This window comes from Homo sapiens, chromosome 2 (assembly GCF_000001405.40).
Source record: "Homo sapiens chromosome 2, GRCh38.p14 Primary Assembly".
Taxonomy (NCBI): Eukaryota; Metazoa; Chordata; class Mammalia; order Primates; family Hominidae; genus Homo; species Homo sapiens.
In genome coordinates this window covers 158,220,748-158,232,777 of record NC_000002.12, presented here as the reverse complement: position 1 = coordinate 158,232,777, position 12,030 = coordinate 158,220,748, and the positions used below count along the sequence as shown (strand labels likewise).

Here is a 12,030-nt window from a genome sequence, read left to right as displayed (position 1 = left end):
TAAAAATGTGCTTTATCTTAATGGCTTATGGGGACTGGAACTGGATGCTTTGAACTTCATATCTTTTATGAGTCTGGTTAAGTGTTATGACTTCCTTCTGACTGAGTCACAGGTCAGAGATAATGACCTGACAACAATGTACAGAAGTCTATTTGTTCAAAGATTCAACATCACACAAGCGTGAAATAAGAGACAAACTATTTGCTACTCTAATCCTTTTGTCCTAACTTTCTGCTTCCTATGTGTAAATAAGAAATTCTTATTTCATGTTGAATTTAATGGTTGTATAATATTGGTCCAAGTTTTTTTTTAAGTTAAACTTTGAGATACTCTAATATTATAAATGTTCTGTTTACAAGTGTAGTTTTTAATAGGAAAAAATCTGAAAGATTACAAAAGTAAGGTAGGATATAAAAATGATCTTAGACTGAAAAATAGCATGACATTATTTTGGCTCCAAAATCTATATGGTGAATAGTTTCTACAGTTTTTATTTCTACAGTATTTATTATACTTTTACTGGTTTAACTTTATTAAAATGAACAAAATGTGGGACTGTGAAAATAAACCTCTTGCATTCAATACAAATCAGAAGTATAATAGTAAGAGGAGATAGGGGATAATGAGTGCTTCTTTTGTTTTTCTGTAAACCTCATGTGGAAGTAAAGAGACAAGCTATAAATTCAACTCTTATCATATGCTGACTTTCTGATTCTTCTATCATTGGAACATTATAAGAATCCTTCAAAAAGTCTAACAATCAGTGCATTTAAAATCTCTGTCTCAACAAATGTCCCAAAGGACTAGTTAAATACCCTTAGTCTTGACTTCAGTTTGAGGCTTGCAAAGCTAATAATTCTTGATACATAAATTGTAGGATGAATTAATGGATGAACAGTGAATGGAACTGTCCTTAGGGAGGTACTTAGTTTGGCCTTTACCATCCTGAAAAGAAAACTGTTGGCCCGGTTCCCATGTACAACTTTGTTATTCTTGGACCAGAGACCAGAAGAAACTTCCAGTCACCTAAGAGTGATCAATGATACCCTCTTATGTGTTAGACATGACACAATGTACTAAGGATACAAAGATAAACAATGCAGATTAATATGGGAAATGCTGTGTTAAGAATACACAAATAATGCCTTAGAAGGTACACCTAGCTGTATCTGGAGGAGAGGGAGAGGGAGAAAGGCTGAGAAGGCAATGCTAAAACTGAGTCTTTAAAGGATGGATAGGAAGGATTTACCAAGCAATAAGGCAAGGCAGAACTTTCCAGGCATGTACTAAATGCCCAAATATATTGGTAAAGATCCAGGGGCAGAACCTCATGAAAGAAGTCCAGGAATGCAGGTAGTCAAAGAAAGGAGGGTCATAAACTATAAGCTATTGGTGTGCCATGGATGGAGCTACTGTTTTTCTAGAAGGCTCAGGAGAAGATTTGAGGAGGTGGCATTTGTTCTCATCTTAAAGATAAAGTAAGTTTGACAGGTGGAAGAGGGAAATTAAGTCATTCTAGTAGAGAAAGCTGTGCAGAAAAGCAAATAAGCATGAGAGTGCATAACCACATTCTCTTTCCTGTTCACATCCTCATCCTGGAGACCTCATCCAGTCCTCTGGTGTCAAATACTGTTTATGTGGCTATCTCCTTAATTTAGGTCTCCAGCACTGAGTTCTCCCCTAAGCCACCCATCTGTGCCTTCAGATGTTCGTCTGGCCCCTCCAACTTAGAGGTCTTATGGGCTTGTCAAGTGTTATGTGTTCAAAACTGAGCTCCCAATTTTCTTCCTTTTCCAAGCTTGTTATTCTCCCAATCTTCTATCTCAGTTACTAGTATCACCTTTCAACCAGCTGTTCAAGCAAAAACCTAGGAATTGTCCTTGATTAGTCTTTCCTGCAATCTTCACATGGAATCTCTCAATGAGCCCTCTTGGAATCTTTCAATGAGCCCTCTGATTCTACTCAAAAGCACATCTCAGATCTGAACACTTGAATCCATCTCCTGAGTCCAGGGACGAGCGCTGCCTTTTCCTTCTAACTGGTCTCCCTGTTGTTCCTTAGCTTCTCTACTACCCGTGCTCCACTTCATATCGAGAGCTCTCTTTTTAAAATGTAAGAAATGTAAGTCAGATCATGCTACTATTTGCTTTAGTCTCTTCAATGGCTTTTCCTTGTTTCTAGAATTAAATCCTGGCCAAATCATCTAACCCCATGCAGCTCTCCAATCTCGCTTCTAGTCTTAACCTATGCCACCTGCTCCAGCTCCCTGGCCTATTCCCAGTTCTCAACATATGCGAGGTCTTCCCCATCCAATGCTGTTGCACCCTCTTCCCAATGTACTCCCCTCCATCTCTTCCCGTGGGTGTTTCACGCTCATCTACCAGGTTTTCAAACAAATGTCATGTCATCCAGATGTCCTATTTAAGACATTTAAAAGATACCTTCTACTAATTCTACTCAAATTTTTCTAAACCATCACTCTACGTATCCCCTTCTTAGAGGTTAATACAGCATGTGATATTCCATTCATTCATTCATTTACTATCTGTCTCCCTTTCTAGAAAGTCTCAGTTCCACAAGACAGAGGCTTTATTTTTTTTAAGTACCAGTTATCATGTGCTCAATAAATACTTGTTGAACAAATGAATGTCAAAGTCCCAAAGTCAATAATGGTTTAATACTATAGGTAAGGGTTAATAGAATCAAATACACAGAGACATCAAGTAAAATCATGATTGGAAAGGATATTTGATCCGATCCTGTGGAACTCACTAGTGAGAGCAGTGACTTCGGAGTGGAGTACAGAGGTAGGAATACCATAGGTGAGGAGTGAAATAGAAGATGTGCACATGGGAAAAAGCGAGTTGCTAAGATGCCTGGCCAAAGAGGAACAATGAAAGGTATGATGCTACAATCTTTGGGTTCTAAAGAATTTCTAAATTATTGCAATGGGATAAAATTATGTTTAATTCCATGTGAGAAGGAAGCAGCAAAGAGCAAGAAGCTGAAGGTACAGGGGAGAGGAGGGGACAGATGAGGAGGGAGGCTACGAAGAAGGTGGAATTGGGAATGGGATCTGCAGCCCAGGTGAGGCATTAGTCTTGAACAGGAGGAAAAATACCTCTTCTTCTGATGGGCTGAACAATGAGAAAGATATCTTGTAGAGCTTCTGTTTGCTCTGATGAAAGTGAGGAAATAGCAGCAGGTATGGAGCTGAACATAGTGAACAGGTTTTAGAATATCACTATGAGAAACTGAGAGGCATTGTCCAGGAATTCATAAATGGAATGCTTATTGTCATTGAAGATTCAATTGAAACCATAAATTTAGTACTAGTTCCTACAATTATGTCATCAATCAAATGGTTATTAAGTACATGCTATGTTTTAGACACTTTAGCTGAATATCTCACAATTGTTGCAGCCTAGTGGGACAGAAGAAAAGTATATTAATTAGCAAAGCCTTGTGATGAGAGCTGCACTAGGGAAATAACATTATATAAGTGGAGCCCAGAGGATGATTGGAAGTGGGTAGGGCAGGTTCTGGTCACAGAGTCTATTGCTGATTCAAGATTACACAGTTGGAACTGTTTTCAATGATAATAGAATTCTGGAGGAAGAGGAAGTTCCCTAGAATGGAGGAAGTCATAGAATTATGAGAATTACAGGTTGGAAGGGCAGTCAGACAGATGGTGAAGTTGATTAGGAAGGTTGGAAGGGCATTCAGACAGGCTGAAGTTGCCTGTATTTGAGAAGGCTGTGACTGAAGTATCTGAATTCTTTTTTTTTCTTTCATTTTCTTTTTTTTTTTGTTTTGTTATTATACTTTAAGTTTTATGGTACATGTGCACAACGTGCAGGTTAGTTACATATGTATACATGTGCCATGTTGGTGTGCTGCACCCAGTAACTCATCATTTAACATTAGGTATATCTCCAAATACTATCCCTCCCCCCTCCCCCCAACCCCACAACAGGCCCGGGTGTGTGATGTTCCCCTTTCTGTGTCCATGTGTTCTCATTGTTCAATTCCCACCTATGAGTGAGAACATGTGGTGTTTGGTTTTTTGTCCTTGCGATAGATTGCTGAGAATGATGGTTTCTAGCTTCATCCATGTCCCTACAAAGGACATGAACTCATCATTTTTTATGGCCACATAGTATTCCATGGTGTATATGTGCCACATTATCTTAATCCAGTCTATCATTGTTGGACATTTGGGTTGGTTCCAAGTCTTTGCTATTGTGAATACTGCCGCAATAAACATACGTATGCATGTGTCTTTATAGCAGCATGATTTATAATCCTTTGGGTGTATACCCAGCAATGGGATTGCTGGGTCAAATGGTATTTCTAGCTCTAGATCCCTGAGGAATCGCCACACTGACTTCCATAATGGGTGAACTAGTTTACAGTCCCACCAACAGTGTAAAAGTGTTCCTATTTCTCCATGTCCTCTCCAGCACTTGTTGTTTCCTGACTTTTTAATGATTGCAATTCTAACTGGTGTGAGATGGTATCTCATTGTGGTTTTGATTTACATTTCTCTGATGCCCAGTGATGATGAGCATTTTTTCCTGTGTCTTTTGGCTGCATAAATGTCTTATTTTGAGAAGTGTCTGTTCATATCTTTTGCCCACTTTTTGATGGGGTTGTTTGTTTTTTTCTTGTAAATTTGTTGGAGTTCATTGTAGATTCTGGATATTAGCCCTTTGTCAGATAAGTAGATTGCAAAATTTTTCTCCCATTCTGTAGGTTGTCTGTTCCCTCTGATGATAGTTTCTTTTGCTATGCAGAAGCTCTTTATTTTAATTAGATCCCATTTGTCAATTTTGTCTTTTGTTGCCATTGCTTTTGGTGTTTTGGACATGAAGTCCTTGCCCATGCCTATGTCCTGAATGGTATTGCCTAGGTTTTCTTCTAGGGTTTTTATGGTTTTAGGTCTAACATTTAAGTCTTTAATCAATCTTGAACTAATTTTTGTATAAGGCATAAGGAAGGGATCCAGTTTCAGCTTTCTATATATGGCTAGCCAGTTTTCCCAGCACGATTTATTAAATAGGGAATCATTTCCCCATTTCTTGTTTTTGTCAGGTTTGTCAAAGATCAGATGGTTGTAGATATGCGGCATTATTTCTGAGGGCTCTGTTCTGTTCCACTGATCTATATCTCTGTTTTGGTACCAGTATCATGCTGTTTTGGTTACTGTAGCCTTGTAGTATAGTTTGAAGTCAGGTAGCGTGATGCCTCCAGCTTTGTTCTTTTGGCTTAGGATTGACTTGGCAATGCGGGCTCTTTTTTGGTTCCATATGAACTTCAAAGTAGTTTTTTCCAATTCTGTGAAGAAAGTCATTGGTAGCTTGATGGGGATGGCATTGAATCTATAAATTACCTTGGGCAGTATGGCCATTTTCACAATATTGATTCTTCCTACCCATGAGCATGGAATGTTCTTCCATTTGTTTGTATCCTCTTTTATTTCATTGAGCCATGGTTTGTAGTTCTCCTTGAAGAGGTCCTTGACGTCCCTTGTAAGTTGGATTCCTAGGTATTTTATTCTCTTTGAAGCAATTGTGAATGGGAGTTCACTCATGATTTGGCTCTCTGTTTGTCTGTTATTGGTGTATGGGAATGCTTGTGATTTTTGTACATTGATTTTGTATCCTGAGACTTTGCTGAAGTTGCCTATCAGCTTAAGGAGATTTTGGGCTGAGACGATGGGGTTTTCTAGATATACAATCATGTCATCTGCAAACAGGGACAATTTGACTTCCTCTTTTCCTAATTGAATACCCTTTATTTCCTTCTCCTGCCTGATTGCCCTTGTCAGAACTTCCAACACTATGTTGAATAGGAGTGGTGAGAGAGGGCATCCCTGTCTTGTGCCAGTTTTCAAAGGGAATGCTTCCAGTTTTTGCCCATTCAGTATGATATTGACTGTGGGTTTGTCATAGATAGCTCTTATTATTTTGAGATACATCCCATCAATACCTAATTTATTGAGAGTTTTTAGCATGAAGGGCTGTTGAATTTTGTCAAAGGCCTTTTCTGCATCTATTGAGATAATCATGTGGTTTTTGTCGTTGGTTCTGTTTATATGCTGGATTATGTTTATTGATTTGCGTATGTTGAACCAGCCTTGCATCCCAGGGATGATGCCCACTTGATCATGGTGGATAAGCTTTTTGATGTGCAGCTGGATTCAGTTTGCCAGTATTTTATTGATTATTTTTGCATCGATGTTCATCAGGGATATTGGTCTAAAATTCTCTTTTTTTGTTGTGTCTCTGGCAGGCTTTGGAATCAGGATGATGCTGGCCTCATAAAATGAGTTAGGGAGGATTCCCTCTTTTTCTATTGATTGGAATAGTTTCAGAAAGAATGGTACCGGCTCCTCCTTATACCTCTGATAGAATATGGCTGTGAATCCATCTGGTCCTGGACTTTTTTTGGTTGGTAAGCTATTAATTATTGCCTCAATTTCAGAGCCTGTTATTGGTCTCTTCAGAGATTCAACTTCTTCCTGGTTTAGTCTTGGGAGGGTGTATGTGTTGAGGAATTTATCCATTTCTTCTAGATTTTCTAGTTTATTTGCATAGAGGTGTTCATAGTATTCTCTGATGGTAGTTTGTATTTCTGTGGGATAGGTGGTGATATCCCCTTTATCATTTTTTATTGCGTCTATTTGATTCTTCTCTCTTTTCTGCTTTATTAGTCTTGCTAGCAGTCTATCAATTTTGTTGATCTTTTCAAAAAACCAGTTCCTAGATTCATTGATTTTTTGAAGGGTTTTTGTGTCTCTATTTCCCTCAGTTCTGCTCTGATCTTAGTTATTTCTTGCCTTCTGCTAGCTGTTGAATGTGTTTGCTCTTGCTTCTCTAGTTCTTTTAATTGTGATGTTAGGGTGTCAATTTTGGATCTTTCCTGCTTTCTCTTGTGGGCATTTAGTGCTATAAATTTCCCTCTACACACTGCTTTGAATGTGTCCCAGAGATTCTGGTATGTTGTGTCTTTGTTCTCATTGGTTTCAAAGAACATCTTTATTTCTGCCTTCATTTCATTATGTACCCAGTAGTCATTCAGGAGCGAATTGTTCAGTTTCCATGTAGTTGAGCAGTTTTGAGTGAGTTTCTTAATCCCGAGTTCTAGTTTGATTGCACTGTGGTCTGACAGACAGTTTGTTATAATTTCTATTCTTTTACATTTGCTGAGGAGTGCTTTACTTCCAACTATGTGGTCAATTTTGAAATAAGTGTGGTGTGGTGCTGAGAAGAATGTATATTCTGTTGATTTGGGGTGGAGAGTTCTGTAGATGTCTATTAGTTCTGCTTGGTGCAGAGCTGAGTTCAAGTCCTGGATATCCTTGTTAACTTTCTGTCTCGTTGATCTGTCTAATGTTGACAGTGGAGTGTTTAAGTCTCTCATTATTATTGTGTGGGAGTCTAAGTCTCTTTGTAGGTCTCTAAGGACTTGCTTTATGAATCTGGGTGCTCCTGTTTTGGGTGCATATATATTTAGGATAGTTAGCTCTTCTTGTTGAATTGATCCCTTTACTATTATGTAATGGCCTTCTTTGTCTCTTTTGATCTTTGTTGGTTTAAAGTCTGTTTTATCAGAGACTAGGATTGCAACCCCTGCCTGTTTTTTGTTTTCCTTTTGCTTGGTAGATCTTCCTCCATCCCTTTATTTTGAGCCTATGTGTGTCTCTTCACATGAGATGGGTTTCGTGAATACAGCACACTGATGGGTCTTCACTCTTTATCCAATTTGCCAGTCTGTGTCTTTTAATTGGAGCATTTAGCCCATTTACATTTAAGGTTAATATTGTCATGTGTGAATTTGATCCTGTCATTATGATGTTAGCTGGTTAGTTTGCTCGTTAGTTGATGCAGTTTCTTCCTAGCCTCGATGGTCTTTACAATTTGGCATGTTTTTGCAGTGGCTGGTACCGGTTGTTCCTTTCCATGTTTAGTGCTTCCTTTAGGAGCTCTTTTAGGGCAGGCCTGGTGGTGACAAAATCTCTCAGCATTTGCTTGTCTGTAAAATATATTATTTCTCCTTCACTTACGAAGCTTAGTTTGGCTGGATATGAAATTCTGGTTTGAAAATTCTTTTCTTTAAGAATGTTGAATATTGGCCCCTACTCTCTTCTGGCTTGAGAGTTTCAGCCAGGAGATCAGCTGTTAGTCTTATGGGCTTCCCTTTGTGGGTAACCCAACCTTTCTCTCTGGCTGCCCTTAACATTTTTACCTTTGGTGAATCTGACAATTATGTGTCTTGGAGTTGCTCTTCTCAAGGAGTATCTTTGTGGCATTCTCTGTATTTCCTGAATTTGAATGTTGGCCTGCCTTGCTAGATTGGGGAAGTACTCCTGGATAATATCCTGCAGAGTGTTTTCCAACTTGTTTCCATTCTCCCCATCACTTTCAGGTACACCAATCAGATGTAGATTTGGTCTTTTCACATAGTCCCATATTTCTTGGAGGCTTTGTTCATTTATTTTTTATTCGTTTGTCTCTAAACTTCTCTTCTCGCTTCATTTCATTCATTTGATCTTGCATCACTGGTACCCTTTCTTCCAGTTGATCGGCTACTGAGGCTTGTGCATTCATCACGTAGTTCTCGTGCCTTGGTTTTCAGCTCCATCAGGTCCTTTAAGGCCTTCTCTGCATTGGTTATTCTAGTTAGCCATTCGTCTAATTTTTTTTCAAGGTTTTTAACTTGTTTGCCATGGTTCGAACTTCCTCCTTTAGCTCGGAGTAGTTTGATCGTCTGAAGCCTTCTTCTCTCAACTCGTCAAAGTCATTCTCCATTCAGCTTTGTTCCATTGCTGGCAAGGAGCTGCATTCCTTTGGAGAAGGAGAGGCACTCTGATTTTTAGAGTTTCCAGTTTTTCTGCTCTGTTTTTTCCCCATCTTTGTGGTTTTATCTACCTTTGGTCTTTGATGATGGTGACATACAGATGGGGTTTTGCTTTGGATGTCTTTTCTGTTTGTTAGTTTTCCTTCTAACAGTCAGCACCCTCAGCTGCAGGTCTGTTGGAGTTTGCTGGAGGTCCACTCCAGACCCTGTTTGCCTGGGTATCAGCAGACGAGGCTGCAGAACAGTGAATATTGGTGAACAGCAAATGTTGCTGCCTGGTCGTTCCTCTGGACATTTTGTCTCAGAGGAGTACCCAGCCATGTGAGGTGTCAGTCTGCCCCTACTGGGGGGTGCCTCCCAGTTAGGCTACAGGGGGGTCAGGGACCCACTTGAGGAGGCAGTCAGTCCGTTCTCAGATCTCCAGCTGTGTGGTGGGAGAACCACTACACTCTTCAAAGCTGTCAGACAGGGACATTTAAGTCTGCAGAGGTTTCTGCTGCCTTTTGTTTGGCAATGCCCTGCCCCTAGAGTGGAGTCTACAGAGGCAGGCAGACAGGCCTCCTTGAGCTGCAGTGGGCTCCACCCAGGTCAAGCTTCTGGGCTGCTTTGTTTACCTACTCAAGCCTCAGCAATGGCGGGTGTCCCTCCCCCAGCCTCGCTGCTGCCTTGCAGTTTGATCTAAGACTGCTGTGCTAGCAGTGAGTGAGGATCCGTGGGCGTAGGACCCTCCAAGCCAGGCGAGGGATATGATCTCCTGGTGTGCCCTTTGCTAAAACCTTTGGGAAAGCGCAGTATTAGCGTGGGAGTGACCCGATTTTCCAGGTGCTGTCTGTCACCCCTTTCTTTGACTAGGAAAGGCAATTCCCTGACCCCTTGTGCTTCCCAGGTGAGGCGATGCCTCACGCTGCTTCGGCTCATGCTCGGTGCACTGCACCCACTGTCCTGCACCCACTTTCCGACACTCCTCAGTGAGATGAACCCGGTACCTCAGTTGGAAATGCAGAAATCACCCGTCTTCTGCCTCGCTCACCCTGGGAGCTGTAGACTGGAGCTGTTCCTATTCGGCCATCTTGGCTCCACTCCAAGTATCTGAATTCTTGAAGAGAATTTGGGAGTGACTTGGAAATTTACACATGCCAATGATAACGACAGGTAGAGGGTGATATATCCATGTGGTGTTAACATCAAAGGGAGAAAGAATTGTACATATCATAATGGCCTGAAACAGACAGTTAACAATGAGGAAAATGCCCCAGCTATTCCCCAGCAAAATGGCACATGGGGTATCAGAATATGAGTATCCTTCACTCAAAAGAATTTCAGTGAAAACAAGGAAATAGTTTTCTGAAGGTTGAAGATGTAGGGAGTTTTACATGTGATGACACAGGGGTTCCAGAGGTCTCAGTGGAAAGCACTGAAAAGGATTAGAGAGAGAGAGAGAGAGAAAGAGAGAGAGGGAGAGAGCACACTTATACTATAGCAATGCCTGAAGGTTGGTACCTTCAGAGTCAAAGATGGAAATAACTGGTCTTGAGATTGCAAAAAGCTCCAGGTATAACATACGCCTGGGGCCTGCACAGGACAGTGTATCAAGTGATCAAGTGGTGTCAGAAATCTGAGGATGCCAGCAACCTGGGGTTGCTCTGCTTGTGGTCAAGGAATTGTCTGCAAAAGAGCCACTGACTTTCTCCAAGGCCAGTGCTGGGAGTAAGGAAGTATTATTGGTCTGCATTAACCCAGAGAAAAATGCTCTTTGATTCCATATCTGTTCTTTTAAAAAAATTTGTTTTGAAGTAGCTTAATTTTTTTCTGATTATAAAAGAAATATGATTCATTGCAAAAATAAGGTAATGCAGAAAAGAATAAAATAAAGATGGTTTATAATTCCCAGATGGAGATGACATAATCATTGCTAACATTTCCGTATCTGTCATTAATAGAATTCCCTGGCATTTATCAGTTAGGACTCTAGAACACTCCTTGTCAATCAATGTTTCCTCTCCTGCACCCACCCTCTCTCTCTCTCTCTCCATCTTGGGTGCTGCTGCCTTTCTAGCTTTATCTCTGTTCTCTCTAAATCCAGAGCTCTGTCATCTCTGCAGTGGATATCACTGCACATTGGGCTTATTTAATTATTCATTAAACATTGAACAGATGTTGCTATTGTGGCTGCAGAGTTGCTATGTCTGTGGCGATGGTGCTTGGGATGCTTCTTTTGATTCTCCCAGAAATCAGAGACCATGTTGCTAGGGCAAGTCAGGAAACCACTTAGATTTTCCTATTCACCTCTGTCTCAGAAAAGAAAATGCCACCTTAGGGGTAGGGCTAGCCCAGCCTCTACAACAGACCCCCTGCTGCCAGTCGCTCACTATTTACCATTGAGGTACTCACCTGCAAGAGCCAGTCTCTTGACTCAGGCACAACATGGCAGGCCAGAGTGGTGGAATGGGCCTCTGTTCAATAAACATTCATTGTCCCATCACATTGGGAAATCCTGAATAAGGGTTTCAGCTCCCTGAAAATAGCTCATATGTACCTCTGGTTTTCTCATTTTGCTTCCATTTCCAGAAAAGGGAAGTAAAACAGGCCTACTAATAACACTGCTTTCACCTTTTTGCACTTGATAAGCTCGACCTTTATTTTACCACATAAGTCAGAACTACTATATACCACAACCCTGCTAATTTGTTCTTTTCCTCCTTCCTCCCACCTATCTCCTGCCACTTCCCCAGAAGCATAAAGCTTTCAACATCCTGCTGTCCATTAGCATAAATAAACTAATGCTTTTAAAATAAAAATAGTTTTAATGCTATATTTGTTAAAGACTGCATTACCATAAGAAGATAAAAATATTCTTGAGTAACAGGTAGATCATATACTTTAGAGACAATAACACACTTTTATTGTGGTTCTCTGGAAAGTTGATTATTTTAGCCATAGATTAAAACCTTAGGTCAGCACAAGTTATATTTCCATTCATTGCAGAAATTGTTAAACCTTGCAGTTTCTCAGGGCATCTACCTTTGTGTTTTAATTTATTTTTCTGTTGCCAATGTATTATAAGCATATCTATGAAACAAAAAAGATGAAGTGCCCTTTAAATTCAATTTTGTAATACGAACCAGTGGATATGGTTATGGCTTTTCCCTCATTTTTACATATCTGTTG

At 40.2% G+C, this 12,030-nt stretch overlaps 1 protein-coding gene and 1 long non-coding RNA gene across 3 annotated transcripts in view, besides 1 other annotated feature; one reads left to right on the top strand and one right to left on the bottom strand.

Moving 5' to 3' along the window:
* The window catches only part of CCDC148-AS1 (CCDC148 antisense RNA 1), a 69,520-nt gene that overhangs the window by 3,392 nt on the left and 54,098 nt on the right, over window positions 1-12,030 (bottom strand). The gene's annotated exons all lie outside the window — the stretch shown is intronic.
* The window catches only part of CCDC148 (coiled-coil domain containing 148), a 285,681-nt gene that overhangs the window by 223,976 nt on the left and 49,675 nt on the right, over window positions 1-12,030 (top strand). The gene's annotated exons all lie outside the window — the stretch shown is intronic.
* Window positions 9,034-9,533: an enhancer, noted in NCBI's record as "H3K4me1 hESC enhancer chr2:159079757-159080256 (GRCh37/hg19 assembly coordinates)". NCBI's record gives its function as "activates a minimal SCP1, AML or CMV promoter by ChIP-STARR-seq in primed H9 embryonic stem cells {active_cell/tissue: H9 hESC(primed)}" and the evidence as "EXISTENCE:reporter gene assay evidence [ECO:0000049][PMID:30033119]".